The sequence below is a fragment of the Homo sapiens genome, chromosome 2 (genome assembly GCF_000001405.40).
Source record: "Homo sapiens chromosome 2, GRCh38.p14 Primary Assembly".
Taxonomy (NCBI): domain Eukaryota; kingdom Metazoa; phylum Chordata; class Mammalia; order Primates; family Hominidae; genus Homo; species Homo sapiens.
In genome coordinates, this window is record NC_000002.12 from 157,286,145 (window position 1) to 157,304,776 (window position 18,632).

The following is an 18,632-nucleotide window of genomic DNA, read 5'->3' on the forward strand; positions in this document are numbered from 1 at the left end:
ACTCATTTTTTTGTTTGTTACATTTTTATTTTAATTTAAAATGTTTCTCAAACATACAGCAAATGTGAAAGACCAGCACAATGATGCCTATATATGCATCACTTAGTTCCATCAATTTTAAACAGTTTTTATAATATGTGCTTTATCATAAACACACATAGACACCTATTGTATATACTTTTTTCCTGAACCTTTGAAAAAGAAGTTACAGACATCATCATACTGCACCCCTAAGTACTTCAGTGGGCAGCTCTGAAGAACAGAAGCATTCTCTTAAATAAGCACAGCTTTCATAACTAAATATAATACCTACTATATGCTCTTTTCAAGTTTTCTCATTGTTCCCAAAATGTTTTTGTTTTTGTTTTTGTTTTTTTGAGACAGAGTCTCGCTCTGTCACCCAGGCTGGAGTGCACTGGTGCCATCTCAGCTCACCACAACCTCCGCCTCCCTCGTTCACACCGTTCTCCTGCCTCAGCCTCCCAAGTAGCTGGGATTACAGGCACCCACCACCATGCCCGGCTAATTTTTTGTATTTTTAATAGAGACGGGGTTTCACTGTGTTAGCCAGGATGGTCTCGACTCCTGAACTCGTGATCCGCCCGCCTCGGCCTCCCAAAGTGCTGGGATTACAGGCCTCAAAATGTTTTTTTAAATTCGGGAACTAATTAAGTTTCATACTCTGCATTTGATACTTTGGTCTTCTTAGTCTGAAAAGTCAACTCCTCACACACTTTGTTTAAATACCAGTGTGTGTGTGTGTGTGTGTGTGTGTGTGTGTGTGTGTGTGTGTATTTTAAGTTCATGCCATTTGTTTGGTACCAGTGACCATGTTCTGAAATTTTTGATTTCCTCTTGTTACCTGCAGGATAAATGTTTTTGGAGTGAAAATATTATATAGAATGCTACTACATAGGTGATAGAAATGGTATACATCTCATCAAGAGGCATATAATATAACATAATATCACCAGTATTGTTGATACTAACTTTGTTAGTTAAGATGTTGACAGCTAAACCTTTACTTTGGGATTAAGAAGTAATTTGTGGAATGACACATTGATCCATGAAAATATTCTGTTTTTCTTACAATGTTTTACCCAATGGTTTTTAGTATCCATTGATCATCCTTGCTTAAATCAATTATTACACTGAGGACTGAAAATTTGCTTTTCTATAATTCATTCTTTTTTATTTAGCTGGCATTCATGTGTAAGGAGAAAATCTCTATCTCTCCCTCTCCTGCTTTCTAACTCTTCCTCCCTTTCCCCTCAATCTCCCTCTCCCCTCCCTCTCATCCCCTCATCGATATGGATTTATGGCTCAGAAATTAAATGTGTATTATATCACCATTATTCTTGTTGGTGTTCAAATTGTCCCAAATTTGACCACTAGGAGCTTCTTCAAGCCTGTGCCCTTTTGACCTGACCCATCAATATTTCAAGATTTCGTAATGTTTTAATTCTATAATCCTCACCCCTCTCTTCTCTGACCCATGTCTATTCTTCCTATGGTTCTTTCTGCCTTCCCCAAAGGCCGTATGCCTTCTTTTCCTCTCCCCTTTTTAGTGTGCAGGTGTTGGTGAGTGAATGAGAAGTGAATCTATTTTATGAGTATTCTAAAAACAACATCAAACATTTGGGTTCATGTTCATACATTTCTATGGAAGGATCTGTGCCCTGTAATACTAGCTGATTTATATGCTAGGTGCCATTCTGAATACTTTGTGTATTAACTGATTGAATCCTCACAATAACTCTATGAGATGAGTACAATCACATCCTCATTCTACATATGAGAATATAGAGGCACAGTGAGGCTGTGCCTTATGCAAGCTCCCCCATCTAGCCAGTGGTAAATCCAAAGCTGGCACCTGAATGCCCTGACCCCAGAGTCCGTCCTCTTATCAACTACACCTTGAGGCCTCTAGACATTTAGCCACCACTCTGGCCCTGTAAGCCCTGCTTTTACAGGTCTCCACCAGCTTAAATTCAAGCATGTTCTGATGGGAAGTTTTCTGCTTACCTGAGTTTAATTTTCTCATAACTGGACCCCATATTTGAAGCTCTTCTCATTTCATTGGTTTGCTAACAAATGTCTTCTCTTTGTAGAGGAAATTTTAAGTAAGCAACAAATACATCACACCAAAATTGGCATTGCAGTGACAGTTAAGATTCTTGATGAGAGACTGCATTCAGAAAAATTTAATGGCATTCCATGCTTAATTTCCTTTGGAAAGTAATTATCTATAAATGACGTAAAAATAGGATACTCAAGAACTAGTTTAAATAGGTAATTTTTGAGCTGAGGTCTGGGTGAAGAATATTCCCAAGCAAATGGAACAAGAAGTACAAATGTCCTAATGAAGAAATGAGCTTGGCATATTCAAGGTAAAGAAATAAGTTCATTTTGACTCATGGGTGCTGACCATGGGGAGAGTCATAAAAGATTCATTTGGGGAGAAAGAAAAAAGCAAATTTTTCTAAAGTTTTGTGCATCACTTAAAGATTGTAGGCATTATTCTCAGTATAAGGTGAAGCCAATGAAGAATATTAAATAGGAACGAAACTGTCTGATGTACATTTTGAAAGCTCATTCTGGCCACTGTGTAGAGAATGGATATTAGGAAGATGAAAAAGGAAGTAGGGAGGCCAGTTAGGAGGCTACTATAGTTGTCCAAGTACCAGGGAGGTGCCAGGGTAAATGGGAGAAATGGTCAGCTTCATCATAGATTGTGCACATGGAACGTATAGGACTTGCCGTCAGATAAGATGTGAAGAGAATAAGAATGACACCAATCAGAAACAAACCCTAGGACTGGTATCTGAACAACTTGGTGGGTGGTAGGCTCAAAACTGGAGGAGCAGGTTTGGAATTGCAGTTGAGTTTTGATTTTGTCCATATAAATTTGAGATGAAAATGAGATATTCATGCACAGAAAGTAGAATACAGAACCAAATATGGGTTACTTATTTAAAAATTTTCTCTCTGCCTGCACGGAGCACAGAGTATGCTAGTAACGGCCTCCAACACAGTCCAAACTATTAGACAACATGGGTGGAGTGTCTTAGAAGGGGTGTTATGAGCTTGATTAAAGCAGTTGCAACTGCTTGCTCAAGTGCTTGCAGTTAACATCCATAATGTAATTTATTTGAATTTAGCAAATCTGAATGTAAATTCAGATTCATTAACAGCCTTGAGAATATTAGCTCAGTAACTGTCAAACCATTTTGACAATGGCTTGTGTAGAAATAAATGTTTCATCACAACTCAGTACATGTGTAATCACACATATAACTACAGTAGACATTTTATCAAATAACATGTGGAATAGATTCTAATACCTTCTTTTCTATGTTATTTATGTTTTAGATCCTAGCCAATCTCAATAAATTGATTTAGTGATTGATTCACTAAGGGAATCTACAGCTCTCAGTTTGAAAAACCCCAGCTAGGTGTATCTTAATTGCTTGCCACTGCCTAGTAGAGTGATGCTTCCCAAACTATCTGAAAAGGAATTTTTTTCCCCTAATTTCCAATTTTTTATTGACCTACCCCTTTGTAAATTATAATCAATATTAATTACCCAAAAAGGAAAGTAGATATATAAAACACAAACCCATTTTTATTACATACAAAATATATATGGCTGGGTGGTGGCTCACTCCTGTAATCCCAACACTTTGGGAGGCCAAGGCAGGCAGATCACCTGAAGTCAGGAGTTCGAGACCAGCCTGCCCAACATGGCAAAACCCTGTCTCTACTAAAAATACAAAAAAATTAGCTGGGAGTGGTGGCAGGTGCCTGTAATCCCAGCTACTCAGGAGGCTGAGGCAGAGAATCTCTTGAACCCGGGAGGCGGAGGTTGCAGTGAGCCAAGATCACACCACTGCACTCCAGCCTGGGCAACAAGAGCAAAATTCTGTCTCAAAAAAAAAAAATGTATATATATATATATATATATATATACATACACAAACACATATATACATATATATGCATATGTATCTACATGTATATAAAAACAGTAAATAAATAATAAATTTATAAATTTGACAAATTGCTATAAAGTTTCAAAATATTTGTTCTCAATTTCTATTGCTATCACCCTGTAGACAGCAGGGTCTGTGGCCTACACTTGGAGCAGCATTAGTGGAGCTTGGGTGCCTGAGAGTTTGGAAAGAAGAAAGGTTTGTCTCGATGTATCCTTGCCCAAGGATACATCCAATGCTGGGAAGTACACCTGTCCCCTGTGGGGAATTCAAGGCAATGCAGGATCAGTTTTAGCAGAGAATGTAATTCAGAGACTGGCATTGAGCAGAGATGGCAGGCGTGGTGGGTCCTCTCAAACTCCCCTGGGTGTGCCACAGCTCTCAAGAGTAGAGATAAGTAAGAGACTAAGGGCCTCCTGAAGAGTTCCTGTAAATTAGAGATCAGCAAAGACAGCAGACAAAAATTTTCTCTAGGATGCCTCGCCAAACAAGGAGTTTAAAGATAAGAATCTGAGTCCAGAATCTGACAGGCCTTGATGCTACTGTTCCCTAAAATTTGCCCTTTAGGACTCAAAGAAAAGGGAAGTAACAGGCAAGGGTGAGATCCAGAGATCCAAAGACATGCAGAAATAGAAGTCAGATGGCCTATTTTGGTCCCAGGGTATTAGGAGGCTCTCTGAAGTTCTGCAAGAGGCTCTCTGAAAGTCTGCAATCATCTACAAAATAATAAGGGGCCAAGCAGTGATCGGCCTTACCATTAGCAATGTCTACTATGCATTCAGTTTCCAGGGCATGTTAGTTCTTCATCTGAATCTAATTCAGGCAAAAAGATTAGGTCCAATCAGTTGCTTGCTGTGAATGAGGAGGTTGAGAGGCCCAAGTAGGATTTTAAAATTGACAGGTAGGCCGGGGCAATGGATCTCTAAGAATTGCCCACTATATGAAGCCAACAGAATTAAAAAGATAGAGTAAATGAGATATCAGGGAAGAAGTAGATCACCCATATCCCTTCCTAGTATGGAACAGACCAAGTGATTTACTGCCCTGCCAAGAGGAGTTACAGTCAGGCAGTAGAGAGTCAAAGTAAATATTAGGTTTTCATTTCCTTCATGACATGGCATTTGGCAAAATTCCTGACATTTCTATGAGCATTCTAAATAATCACTTGGCTAACTTTAAGTAACTGGACAAGTGACATCTAACTCCTAGCAAACTCCAAGGTCTCCTAAAAAGCAACAGTAGACATCTGTCTGCAAACTTTTATAACTTGTATCTGCTGCAGGTAAAAATTTTTTCCTTAGCATTACTTAGGAGGCATTATGTAAAATTAAACGGCACGCCAAGCCAACATCCCTCAAGGAATCCTAGACATAACCATCTAGCATTAACTGGTACAGCAGCAATATTCCAGGCTGGTACACTGGATATAAGTGGGGGTCCATGCTCAACAAGGACCCAAAATTTTTGGCACATTGAACAGTTTTATGTTACCACCCACCCCCCCCCAGATTTTTAAGTTACAAATGAAACCCATCTGTAAACAATCCAGTATTATTGGGACCTATCCTTAGAAAACAGAAAATCCTAACAGGTAGCAATCAAGGTTGGACTAAAATTTTATATTCTTTAACCCGCCTCTCCCTATATCCCCTCTCTCCTACCCTTTCCAAATCTAGTGCTCTGTAGCACTATAGGGTCACTATAGTTAACAATAGTTTATTATATATTTTCAAGTAGCTATCAGAGAGGATTTTGAATGTTCCCAATACAGATAAATGATAAATGTTTGAGGTGATTGATATGCTAATTACCCTGATTTGATCACTACACACTTTATGTATCAAATATCACTATGTACCCCATAAATATATACAATTATTATGTGTCATTTAAAAATTTTAAGTGATTGGGTTGATTATTCTGACAGTAAATTATACTAGCAATTTTTAAAGAATTTAGATATCAGGTAGCTCTTAGAAATATCTTCATAGGGCAAAGCTCAAAAAAGTTAAGTAACTTATCTAACCTGGCTAGGAAAAGCAGAGCTCGGATTGAAGGCTGTTGTATGTAACTTTAATGCTATGCTTATTTCACTGTGCCTCTCCCCTCTCTGAATCAGGAACAGTGCGTACAATGTCCATAGACAATAACCACGCCAATCAGAAATCCCACCAAGAGTCAGCTACGCAGAGAGCTCCCTGTTTTCTCACCTAACATAGTCCTAGGATCTTATTTTAAAACAAAGTGTCTGAAAGTAGAGCAATAGCATGCATGCACAGGAGGATTCTCCTCTTCCCCAAAATAAAACAATATAAAATTCCAGACTATGTTTTGAGCAGATGCTGCTTCCCTTAGGTCCTGGCAGCAAATGAATGAGAATTTTCATAGGGATCTGGGCCAGGTGGGAAGTGAATGCAGGTTTGGGGACCCATCCTGCTGCCACTGGGGACTGAGAAAGATAATCCAGGCCCCTTTGACTTCATAAGGCTGCTATGGGGATAGGGACAGGTGGCGTAGTAAAGAATGCTCTTTAAACTCTAGGTCTGAATGGACCACAAGTAGAAATCGTATTATTATTTTTTTTTTTTGAGACACAGTCTTGCTGTGTCACCAGGCTGGAGTGCAGTGCCGTGATCTCTGCTCACTGCAACCTCCGCCTCCTGGGTTCAAGTGATTCTCCTGCCTAGGCCTCCTGAATAGCTGGGGCTACAGGCACACACACACGCCCGATTGATTTTTGTATTTTTAGTAGAGATGGGGTTTCACCATGTTGGCCAGGATGGCCTTGATCTCTCAGCCTCATGATCCTACCACCTCAGCCTCCCAAAGTGCTGAGATTATAGGCGTGAGCCACCACACCCGGCCAGGAATCTTTTTCTACTACATTGTATACCACTAGCCAAGTGGACTTTAGCAGGCCACGCTTCATACACCTACATGACTCTGTGAGTCTTCCCATGACAGGGGAGACAGCTGTCCCAAAGGTGCCATCCCCAAAGGACACCCTTAGGAGATGGCTTAGTCCTTTTGGGCTGCTATAACAAAATGCCTTAGACTAGATCATTTATAAATAGCATATATTTATTGATCACAGTTTTGGAGGCTGGGAAGTCCAAGATCAAGGCACTAGCAGATTCGGTGTCTAGTGACAGCTCACTGTCTGCTTCAAAGGCGGCACCTTGTTACTGTGACCTTACATGGTGGAAGGGCAAAAGGAGCTCACAAACACTCTCCAGCCTCTTTCATATGAGCACTAATCCTACTTAAGAAGACTCCACCCTCATGATCTTATCACAAAGGCCCCACCTCCTAATACTGTCATCTTAGGGTTAGGTTTCAAAATATGAATTTTGGATTGACACGTACATTCAGACCATGCAGGGGACAATACCCTGTCATTGTCAAACAAGCATTAATGCCCTGAAAATAGGACCCTTCCAGCCTGGTCAGGAGATGAAACTGCTATCTCCAAGAACAGAAGACTACATGGAGCGGGTTTGCTTCTCACAGATGGTTTCACTAAACAGAATCCTCAAGAACACTCCACACCAATACCTTGCCCTCATGCAAAAATGCCATTGTTAACCAAGTAATTAATACGATGCTAAATTCTATTAATTGAGAGGTAGTTTGCAGATTTCAGTGATAATGATCTGTCATCTAGATAACTATCCTCATCTTGTTCTCTAAGCCTTCTCATACCCAAAGCTCTGCCTCCTTCTAGCATTTTTTAAAGAATGTAATCTATGGAATGAGCTACTTATTTTCTAATATCACATTGCTGTTTGTTAGCTGTGCAACCATAGAAAAGTTACCTAGGGTCTTTGTTCTTTAGTTTCCTTGTCTCTTAAGTGGGAATAAAAATTAGTTCTATACTGCAGGGTTGTTGTAAAGACTACATAAAACATGCATGAAGAATGTTTAGAACAGAGACTGGCATAGAACAAGCACTTAGATGATGGTTGCTCTTACAGGTATGTCAAGAGCTGAGCTGAGCACCCAGGTATCAAAGTAGTCAATTAAAATGATAAACCAAAATGAAAGCAGTAGTCAAGCCTTAATCCCTTACTGCAACAGTATCAACAGGAGGCTGAACAGGAGAAGGCACTGGCTCCTCCTATGTTCCATTTTTCCCCCTGGAATGTTGCTGAGTGATGGATCAGAGCAGAACAGAGCAGACAAGAGGGGCATCTCACTGCCTGCCCAAGGAACCCAGCACAAAAGGCTCCTTCTGTTATGTGGCCCTGGGATCCAGAGTAAGAAAGCGAAAGGCTAGGAGTGGGAAAGCACTGAATAGTGAGTCAGAGTCGAGCAAAGTGTCTTCAAGACCCATTCCATCTCCAATAAAGTGGTCCTGGCAGAGGTTTTGGCCTGAATGGAGGCACCTGAGTTAGGAATGCAGACAGGCAGAAGAGCAAGTGCTGCAGCCGAGTGGAGGGTCTGAGACCTGGACCGCAACTCCCTTTAGAGACTTCAACACACTGGCTGGGCACCAAGTCTGAGTGAGAAAGCAGGTTTCCCCCATGAGCCCCAGTAGGTAGAGCCTTTGTATTACCTGTGGTTGGGCCTGAAAGATCACACATAGGATGTGGACCAGGAGCTTATTTCCTGGGTTGTTACACTCTCTCACACACACATCACATCACACCACACACACACACACACACACACACACACACACACACACTTCACTTGTATAAGATCCTCTGGAGCAATGTAGATGCTACTGAGGTTTCAATGGAGAGAGAGAGAGAGAGTGTTACTTCACACAACTAACAGGGAAATAAAAGAGTTCTTAATACTACTTCTGGCCTCCAAGTTTCTTTTCCTTTTTTTTTTCCTCCTCTAAGTCTTTTTAAAAATTGTATAAAATACATAGAATATAAAAATGTACCATCTTAACCATTTTTAAGTGTGCAGGCCCATAGTGTTACATACGTTCACATTGGTGTGCAGTCTCCACGACTCTTTTTACCTTGCAAAAATAAAACTCCATACCCATTAATCAGTAACCTCCCATTCCCCACTCCTGTCTCCTATAACTCTTTTCATTACCTCCTAGCCTTGCTGGTTTGTCCACTTTAATTTCTTTCATCCCTATTGTGTGAAGTAATTTTTCCTCTTCATCATTCCTAAGGCCAAACTTGTCATCTCAGTCTGTCTGCTTCTTAAAAACAAAGTCCCAAATCCTGCACCCCCAGAGTTAATGGGCACACTCTCTCAGAGGGGACTTCAGCAACTACATTTAATACCAAGTATTCTTTTCAGATTCTTTTGCCCATTCTAAATGGCTTATCAATTTTTTCCAAACATAAATTATGTTTGCACCACAGGACTCCTAGGAGCAAAGTTTCTCTCATTTCAGTATGAAATGAAATTATAGTGACCACGAATTCAGAAAAAAAAAAAAAGGTCACTGCATTTATAGCCACATTTCTGGAGCAATCATCAATACCTTTGAACATGAAGTACACACATTCAATATATCGTATTTTCTAAGTTTTTTGTGTGTGTTTGGCCCTCTAGGTGATGTGTTGACATTTTTAGATTCTCATGTGGAATGTAACGTTGGTTGGTTGGAACCTCTTCTGGAAAGAGTTTATTTAAGTAGAAAGAAAGTGGCCTGTCCAGTAATCGAAGTCATCAATGATAAGGATATGAGGTAATATTTACACATTCCACAAGATACTTTCAAGCACATCTTTAATCACAAGCAGCAGAAAGTGCTGAGTATATGCCTAATATGTGTGTTTTTTCAAAATCCAAGACATATACAGTTTATCTACTTAAATAAATGGAAAAACATGGTCGATATCTTGGGATCAGAGTCTGCTGATGCAATAATCTATCTGGTCACTACAAATTCTTAACTCTAAATACCAATAAATCCTAATACTCATGACCTAGTTTTTCCCCTTTATATTTAGCTGAACCCCAAATATTTATTTACCTCAAATTTAGTTCTTATTTCTGTGGGAAGCGTATATGTGCTTTTAAGTTGCTCTTGTATTTTTTTTCTTCAAAACTGGCTAGCATATTGTTATTATAAAAGTATAAGTTAAGCACAAATAAGCCAATCAGTTACTAATGCAAATTGTACTTGTAAACATTCTTGAACTATTATTAAAAGGTGGTGATCTAAACTCATCAAAAGCACTTGTTTCATTCATTTGATTACATCGTGAAGCCAAATCGATAAAGTATATAAAGATGTATATAATCCCAGATAACACTTTGTTTTTCATTTCCTGGATTAGTTACATGACAGTGGATAACTTTCAAAGAGGCATCTTTGTGTGGCCCATGAACTTTGGTTGGAGAACAATTCCTCCAGATGTCATTGCAAAAAACAGAATTAAAGAAACTGATACAATAAGGTAAGTGTGGGAAATTTAAGACTAGAAAGCAGTCATGTATCTTTTTGTAAAAGCATTAAAAAATTCTACAAAACAGCTGTATCTTGTTATTCTATAGAACATTAAGAATCACAGTTCTAGCCAATAGATTACCAAAGCAAACACAGTGTTCTTGAGAAATTCGTTCCCAAAACTCATTCTTCACTGGTCATTTGTACCCTACTCAGGCCTGAACACAGAAAAATTCACTAATGCTATCCTGTCCCCTAGGATTTGCAACCTAAGAAACACAAACTAGCAAAATGTGCTGCATACATACTATACAAACACATGTAATATTAAAGTAAACATAAGTGCAAATTAAAAGTAAATAATGGTAATAGAAATATCATTCTAATGATAGCAATGGTTAGGATTTTCTTTTACAGCCTAATCCTACCCCCTCCATGAGAAAAGTGCCAAATTCTATGAATAAATTTAAAAATTGATTCAGAAGCTGGATATGAATTCAAGTTTGGGCTTTTATTTCCAAGAAACTGCATTGAAGAACACAGCTTAGACTTGAAGCTGAAGTGGAGGCTTCCTATTACTTCTTCAGAATATAAGCCTGCAGCACAAGCATTAAGCCAGCCACAGGAAGAGCTGCAGGGGGCTTAAACTTTCCCTGTTGTAGTGACCACTTAAACAGACACAAGTAAGCCAGCCCCAACAGAAAGCCAAGCCCAGACCGTGCACCGAAGCGTGTTTTCCCCAAACTTACCCCTCAATCAGTCATACCCGCCTTCCTTGCCAGGTGTGATGCCTTCAGAATTATTCCACCAAGCAAAGAAGTGAAGGTTCTACCATTTATTGAGCACTCTGTGCCAGGCACCTAACTCTCTTCCTAACTCTAGGAGGGAGGTGGAAGAATTCACCTTAAAGAGATGGGGAAATTTAGACTTAAAAGCATTAAGTAATTTTCCCAGGAATACGCAGCTAATCAAAGAAGAATTTGAGACTCAAACCCAGAATTACCTGGATTTAACACTCTTATTCTGAACCTACACCTAAAGAACCTCTGCTCTTTCCATACTCTCATGTTGAGGGCCAATGTAGTGGTTGAGTTCAGACTATATTCAACATAATGTTAGGACGAGAATGCGTTCTGGATAGTCTAGTAGGAAAATTGGAGAGCAGAAAGAAAATGAACATAAATGGTGGCGGAGGGGAGAGAGGTGTGGGACAGGAATTATCTCCCCCTTGAGATCACTGTATACCCTAAGCACAAAGCAGGCTCTCCACAGAAACTACTTTAGCTGGCTGAGTGGTGACCACCATAGGAAGTGATTCCAGTCTTGGCTAACTGCTGACTAAAATGTAGTTTCTATCCTCCATGATCAATATTATTAGTGAAGGTTCTGGAGACAGTTTGAATCTCAACTGTACCACTGAGAAGTGGTATGAGCTTGAAAAGGTTACTTATCATCTTGAGCCTCTGTTTTTTTATTTTTACATAAAGACTCATAAAAGTAGCTGCTACTTCGATTGTTTTAAGAACTGAATCAGATAACATATAAAGTGCTTTGAAAGGTGCTTGCCATATAACACGCTGTCAGTAAAGTTTGTGTGTGGTTGTGAGGCAGGAGAATAGGGTCTGGAGGCAAGAAGCTTAAGGCCAATTCATGCCGACTTCCTAAAGCTGAATCAAGGAAAAACACCAAGGTCTGGGGGCAGGGAATCTAAGGCCAATTCCTGCTGACTTCCCAAACCTGGATCAAAAGGAAAACACCTGGGTCTAGGGGCAGGGGATCTAAGGCCGATTAACACCCACTTCCTAAAGCTAAACCAGAAGGAAAACCCCATTTCCCCACACCCGAGTAACAAAGGATCAACGGCTACTCTCCCTACAGCCCTCCCCTTCCACCACATCTCAGAAGGAAAGGGAGAGTCTCTGCCTTGGACTGGCCAAGCAGGGACCTTCCCTTCATCTGCACAGGGCGCCAATTCACCGCAGCCTTTCATTAGCCAACCAAATCCTCCATCCAGATAAGGGGCAGCTGGTAGGGACCTCGAAAGGAGTACTTGAAACCCAGAAAACTTGGTAACCCGGCCCTTGAACCGTTTGCTCCGGCCCACTCCCACCCTGTGGAGCGCTTTCCCGCTTTAACGAATCCCTGCTTGTGCCGCTTCGTTCATGTGTTTCGTTCCTTTGTTAGTGTGTTTTGTTCAACTCTTTGTTCAAAATACCCAGAACCTGGACAACTCACTCTCACGGCCTTCCTTCCAGTAACGGCTGAGAGGCAGTACAGTGGAGTGAGTGGCACAGCGTCCCCTCAGACTGCCCAGAGCAAACCCAAGGTGTCTACTGTCCTTGGGAAAGTTTCTTACCTTCTCCGTGTTGCCAATTCCTGAGCGCTTGCTTGGAGGTTCTAGTAGAGAGCGCAGCTACTCATATACCCTTGACGGAAGACCGGAAGACCGGAAGACCGGAAGACCAGAAGACCGGAAGACCGGCCCTCCTCTATCAGGGATGGTCGTCCTCTTCCACAGAGCGCGCAGCTTTCGGGAGGGACGCACATGGAGCGGTGAGGGGGGAAGGAGACAGCCGCCTAGCCAGCTAGATCAGCCGAATCAACCCTGGCAATCAATGGGCTGACAGATGTTGCAGCCAGATCGCCCTCACATCCAGTGTTGCAGATTCTTAATAATTGCACACACAAGATTTTTTGTGAAGTCTGGGCTGGAATATATATATAATACTTACAATAGTGCCTGATACTCCCTTAGCCCTGAATAAGTGTTAAAAATAACATTCCTGGACAGTTTGTGTCACAGTATAAAGGACAAATAATACTAGTTCCAGGATGCATCTTTGCTGAACCTAATCTAGCTCTGCCACCATGATCCAGGGATCGCATCACTTAAGCCCTATTTGTGACTCCATCCCAGGGCTTCCCTGCATCAGGTAGCTATTCTGAAAAGCCTCCTACCTCCCGTACAGATGTACAGAGGAACAACTCTAAAAGTCGAGCTTTCATGAGATGCAAGTTTAAAAAACAAACTTTTCTTTTTGTAGGTGCCCTGTCATGGCTGGTGGATTGTTTTCTATTGACAAAAGTTACTTTTTTGAACTTGGAACATACGACCCTGGCCTTGATGTTTGGGGTGGGGAAAATATGGAGCTCTCATTCAAGGTATTACCAGGTGTTTCCCAACTTTTCTTTACGATAATGAGTTAATCAATTTTAAATGGTTTGATTTTACTACCATAATCAGGTATGTGACTGCCACTGAGAGGAAATTTCACAGAAATTTTAGGGTCTCTGGATTAATTTTTTCATATCTCAGATTGAATTTGGAAGAATCAATTGCTGTCATAAAATTTATTAGCATTCCCTAATATTTCACAACACCATTTCTGCTTATAAATATGGGGGAAATGACTTTCTGCCACTCAGAGTAAATGCTGTGGGAGTCATACGTGCTACAAAATAACTCTCCTGGAACATCTGTCTAGAATGTTGGAAGGAATAGACTCAATCTGTAATGGATCATCTTAGAGAACACAAATGACAGAAGTACATTAAAATACCTCTAAAGCAGGTCACCAACAGGTCAGGTGTGCCTTATAGTACAGCTCCTTTGGGCACTTTATACAATCTATTATACAATCATTGATTAACTTCTGAGAAAGCCTTGGCAACAGCAGTAGTAGAGAGTGTCCAAAAAGTAATTGCTTTCCTATTGGGTGGGTGTTCTGTATGTATGTAAAAGGGTGTAATTTTGGAGCTGCTGATCATGAAGGATGGTTTTGAGTTGTGTTCCACAAGCCTTTTGGTTCTTCCCAAAAATGAGAGTAGAGGAACGTGAACAAATGGACATCTATACTTCTTTCCCTGATTCAATCAAAACAAGAACTCATGTTTTACAAAATGGGATTCTGTGAAGATTTATTTACAAATTAAAAAAAACTTACATTGAAAGTTAGGAAAGAAAAAATTACATTTTACTAATCCTAAAATGATCCACAGCAATACACAAAATTAAATAAGCCTGTTGAGTTTGATTTTCTATTGCAAAAGTGTTTTTGAAGTTGAGTATTACTTCAGGTAGGGGGAAACAAGGTGGTTTCTTGTCATTGTTAAGTGCCGATGATTTGTGGATAATCATTTGATAATTGATGCTTATCATCAAATTCTTCCAGGTGTGGATGTGTGGTGGTGAAATTGAGATCATTCCCTGCTCCCGAGTGGGCCATATATTCAGAAATGACAATCCATATTCCTTCCCCAAAGACCGGATGAAGACAGTGGAGCGGAACTTGGTGCGGGTTGCCGAGGTCTGGCTGGATGAGTATAAGGAGCTGTTCTATGGCCACGGAGACCACCTCATCGACCAAGGGCTAGATGTTGGCAACCTCACCCAGCAAAGGGAGCTGCGAAAGAAACTGAAGTGCAAAAGTTTCAAATGGTACTTGGAGAATGTCTTTCCTGACTTAAGGGCTCCCATTGTGAGAGCTAGTGGTGTGGTAAGTTCAAGTGGCAATTTAAAATCTTACTCCATAAAAACAAAACACAAAATCTCTTTCAAAAATGTGTGGAAAGAATGAGTAATTACATTATAAATAAACACCAAGTATGAGCAAAGATGGGACAAAGCATGGCTGAGAATTAAATATAGGTAAACTTGAGGAAGGCTACCAAGTGGTCATGTTCATTGATTAACTCAACAGATATCTATTGAGTATCCGTAGATCTGGGAGTATTTCAGACTTGGATTACAGGGTGATGAATGAAGTAGACTTGGTTCCTTCCTTGTGGAGCTTAATTTGGGTAGAGAAGAAAGATTATAAACAAATAAGCAAGTCAAGTGTAAATACAAAATATAATAGCTCTCATTTAGGGAACAGGCCACAGTTGATGACTCCTCAGTTAGAGTGGCTGAGAAATCCTCTCTGAGAAGGAGACTTTGTAACTCAGGCCTAAAACACTAAGTGTCAGTCAGCCAAGCTCTAAAGAAGAGTGCTAGGCAGAGGGTAAAGGTCACGTAAAGCCCTAAGACAGGTGAGTGTTCTCCATCCAAGCACTGGAAAGAAGACGAATGTTGTCAGGGTGTGAAGGAGGGAAGAATGGCACCAGATGAAGGTGAAGAGGAAGGAAGGAGCCAGATCACACAGGTCCTTGTAAGCAAAGTAAGGATTTTATTTCTTTCCTTCCTTCTTTCCTGCCTTGCTTCCTTCTTTCTTCTGAAAGCAGTGGGAAGTTATTGAGCAGAGTTAAGCAAGGGGGTGATAAGATTTAATTGGGGTTTGTAAAGATTTCAAAGAGGAACTTAAAATAACAGAAAATATCAGAGAATAGCAGATAACATTCCAGGGCATGAAGGATGGTATCCAAAGGGAAGAAGCTAAGCCAGATAAGGTAGCCAGAGTACAAGGCTGAGAAAACATCAAGAAAGAGGAGAAGCTGGGGAAAAGCCATTTCAAACCCCTTCTAGGAGTGAAGCTGCATTTGAAGAGGATGGTAAGACACGTGGGTTTAGATATGATTAGTCAAGCCTTCAGCTGGGGTTCTTAGACAGTCATGCTTATTTCTAATCTTTTATTTCTAATTTAATTTGACTTATAACTAACCCCAGTGTTTTTGTTTTATTTCAGCTTCCTTTTTCTTCATCCAAGAAATTCTTTAAAAATGTGACCATTAGTTATCCCGCCCTTTTAGGCCAAATTTTTTCAGTTCTTCTTGAGAGTGGATTATACCATGCTTTCTGTCTGGAAAATCTCCTGATAGCAAAAACTTACTATAATATTCCCCCTTGAAAGTATTCGGGAAATCCAGGAAAGCTATGAAAGACAAGAAACTAGTCTTAAAAAAATGGTTCTGTTTTTTACAAAATTCAACTGATAAATAAGTTTATGTGACCTGTTTTTAGATAACGCACTGTATTATAAAATTGCCATTTTTATGGGTCCAAATAGAATGGCAGCTACTTTAAGTGGCTCAACCTGGTAACTTATCAGACATTTTGGATTTATATACACTGTTCAAATAACAACATGTCAAATATAACTGTAAAATAAATTTACAATTTTTAATTTCAACCGCTGAGCAGAAAAAAAAAAAAGAAAGGAATTTCCACTATTCTAATATTTCCCATTCCAGCAACGCAGAATCTCAGTCAGAGTAATAATAAGCTTTAACCACCAGAGGGCACTAGAAAACTACCTTTGGGCTCCGCTGTTGCGCTAACCTGAGTGAGTTCCTATGAAATTTCTGGAGAGCTCTCCTAATGAAACAGCCTTCTGCTGATGCCTCCGCTATACTATATCAAAATGCACCAAGTATTTTAAAAAGTGATTTTAACAAATTCCTTCTATTTTCCTTTGTTGTCTTCCTTAAACAAATTTCAGTGAAGATGTAGTTTGCTCCCTTCTGAAGCAAACCAGCAGGGAGCGTTATTAACATTTTTAAAAAATTAGGACCTTTCTCCAGGTAATTTACAACAAATTAAGTAGATCATTATTTTAGATAGACAATCGTGGAAAGTTCCAAGAAAATAAACTCCACAACTTCTTTTTGTTACTTGCTTCGTTTCCCTTCTTTCAACCTCCACTACGGAATTTAGATCCAGTGAAAGTTTTGTGTTTTGTAATAAGAACAAACATTTTCTTATCGAACCAACAATATTTGAAGCTAATAATCTCACCAATAATGTATTTTTCACTGGATTAAACTGCTGGCAAACAGTCTATAGCTCCGTTTCCCTTTTTTCAACCTCCACAAGCAGAAATTTAAATCCAGTGAAAGTTTTGGTTTTTTGTAATAAGAAGAAATATTTTCTTATTGAAACGACAACATTTGAAGCTAATGAAAGAATCTCACCAATAATGTATTTTTACACTGGATTAAACCGCTGGCAAATAGCCTAATGTTTAACAATTCTGTCATAAATTGTGCGGAATGTCTACTTCCTAAATTGGAAAATGAAATAATACAACATGGATAATTTAAAATTCATACACTGCCTATTTTTTTTAAAGATTAAAATGGTTTACAGTAAAAACATGGATCAATTATTTTTAAATAAAAAGGAAAATTCTGAAAACAACTAATAATGAAATGAAGAATAACAATTCCAAAACACTTCAGAGATGATGTCTATATGAAGAAAAGTATTAGGTTGGTGTAAAAGTACCTTCCATGGCAAAAACCTCAATTAAATAGTTTCCTCAGTAATTTCTAAGAAAAAGGAAAAAAAAATCTTCAGGTCAAATGAGGGAGGGACATGTAAGGGACAGAAAAGTTTTATCTTTCCTTCCAATGCTTTTCGGTTCTTGGAAGGATTATACAAAATAGACACAAATAGTTAAACAGGGGGTTCCCAAACACTGTCCTGACCAATGTTACTTGTGCTGTCTCAGGGTTCCATGGTCAAGCACATTTGAGAAACATTTGTACAACATTCTGACAGCAAGCTGAACATTAACACCCTGAAGATTTTGAGAAGTTCTGGAGTAGAACCACCTGTTCGGCTCTGTGGAAACCAGAATTTTCCAAATTTGTTTGAAGATAGAATATTTCTGCATGATCCACAAATACAGGAGCTTACATAATATTTATCTCTGCTTCAGTACAGAGAGCAATTGCAGCATGCTTTCCTTCCTTTAAGCCCCGAGATTATTCTACCTTCATGTCTTTCTATTCACCTTCCTCTCTGAAGTTCAGGGGTGGGACTGTGGGGGCATTGAATCCTTCTGTGCCTTGTGATGCCCACATTTACTAACAGTGAGCTGTCTCCTCCCATATTTGTCATTTTAAATTGCTAATAGAGCTTTCTCTGAGGATTTTTGATAGAGATTCCATCCTTCCATAGTTGCTTTGTTTCTGCCTGTGCCAGGCACCTCAGAAGTAATTAACAACCTGGTACTATTTTTAATGTTTGTTTCTATGCCTTGAAAGTCTGTGATGGTTCCTATCCAAGGCAGGTGGTGTAAATATTCATCTCAAATCCAAATGAAGCCTGGTGTAAAGTTTCAGATTCTCAGGGACAATCCAGCTTCCTTGTTTTCTCCCTTTGCTAATGGGCAAATTGTTTTTCCCAGTGCAGCATTCAACTGAAGATCTGTTTTTCCGCTGTTATGTGGAAGACCTGAATTCCAGATTTTTGGTTTACACATACCTCTGTTTTTCTTCCATCCATATGAGGGAACAAGTCTTTCTTGCCAACCTTTGCAAGTTTCCCTGTAGCCTTTAATTTTTTCCGCATATTCTGATCCCTGAAGATGTCCCTTACTTTCTTGTTCACT

The 18,632-nt window shown here is 39.7% G+C and overlaps 1 protein-coding gene and 1 pseudogene across 5 annotated transcripts in view, besides 1 other annotated feature; one reads left to right on the top strand and one right to left on the bottom strand.

Moving 5' to 3' along the window:
• The window catches only part of GALNT5 (polypeptide N-acetylgalactosaminyltransferase 5), a 60,787-nt gene that overhangs the window by 28,440 nt on the left and 13,715 nt on the right, over positions 1 to 18,632 (top strand). For 4 of the 5 annotated variants that reach the window (NM_001329868.2, NM_014568.3, XM_017003237.3 and 1 more), the window contains 4 exons: positions 9,519 to 9,654; positions 10,250 to 10,369; positions 13,404 to 13,521; positions 14,532 to 14,855. In NM_001329868.2, the coding sequence (NP_001316797.1) occupies positions 9,519 to 9,654; positions 10,250 to 10,369; positions 13,404 to 13,521; positions 14,532 to 14,855 (698 nt within the window). Of the gene's footprint in view, positions 1 to 9,518; positions 9,655 to 10,249; positions 10,370 to 13,403; positions 13,522 to 14,531; positions 15,519 to 15,983; positions 17,344 to 18,632 lie in introns of those variants that run through there. The other variant, XR_007068940.1, reaches the window with a different exon arrangement.
• On the bottom strand, positions 12,663 to 13,014 carry RN7SKP281 (RN7SK pseudogene 281; annotated as a pseudogene).
• Positions 16,466 to 16,545: a silencer, noted in NCBI's record as "silent region_12024". NCBI's record gives its function as "represses an Ori minimal core promoter by ATAC-STARR-seq in GM12878 lymphoblastoid cells {active_cell/tissue: GM12878}" and the evidence as "EXISTENCE:reporter gene assay evidence [ECO:0000049][PMID:35858748]".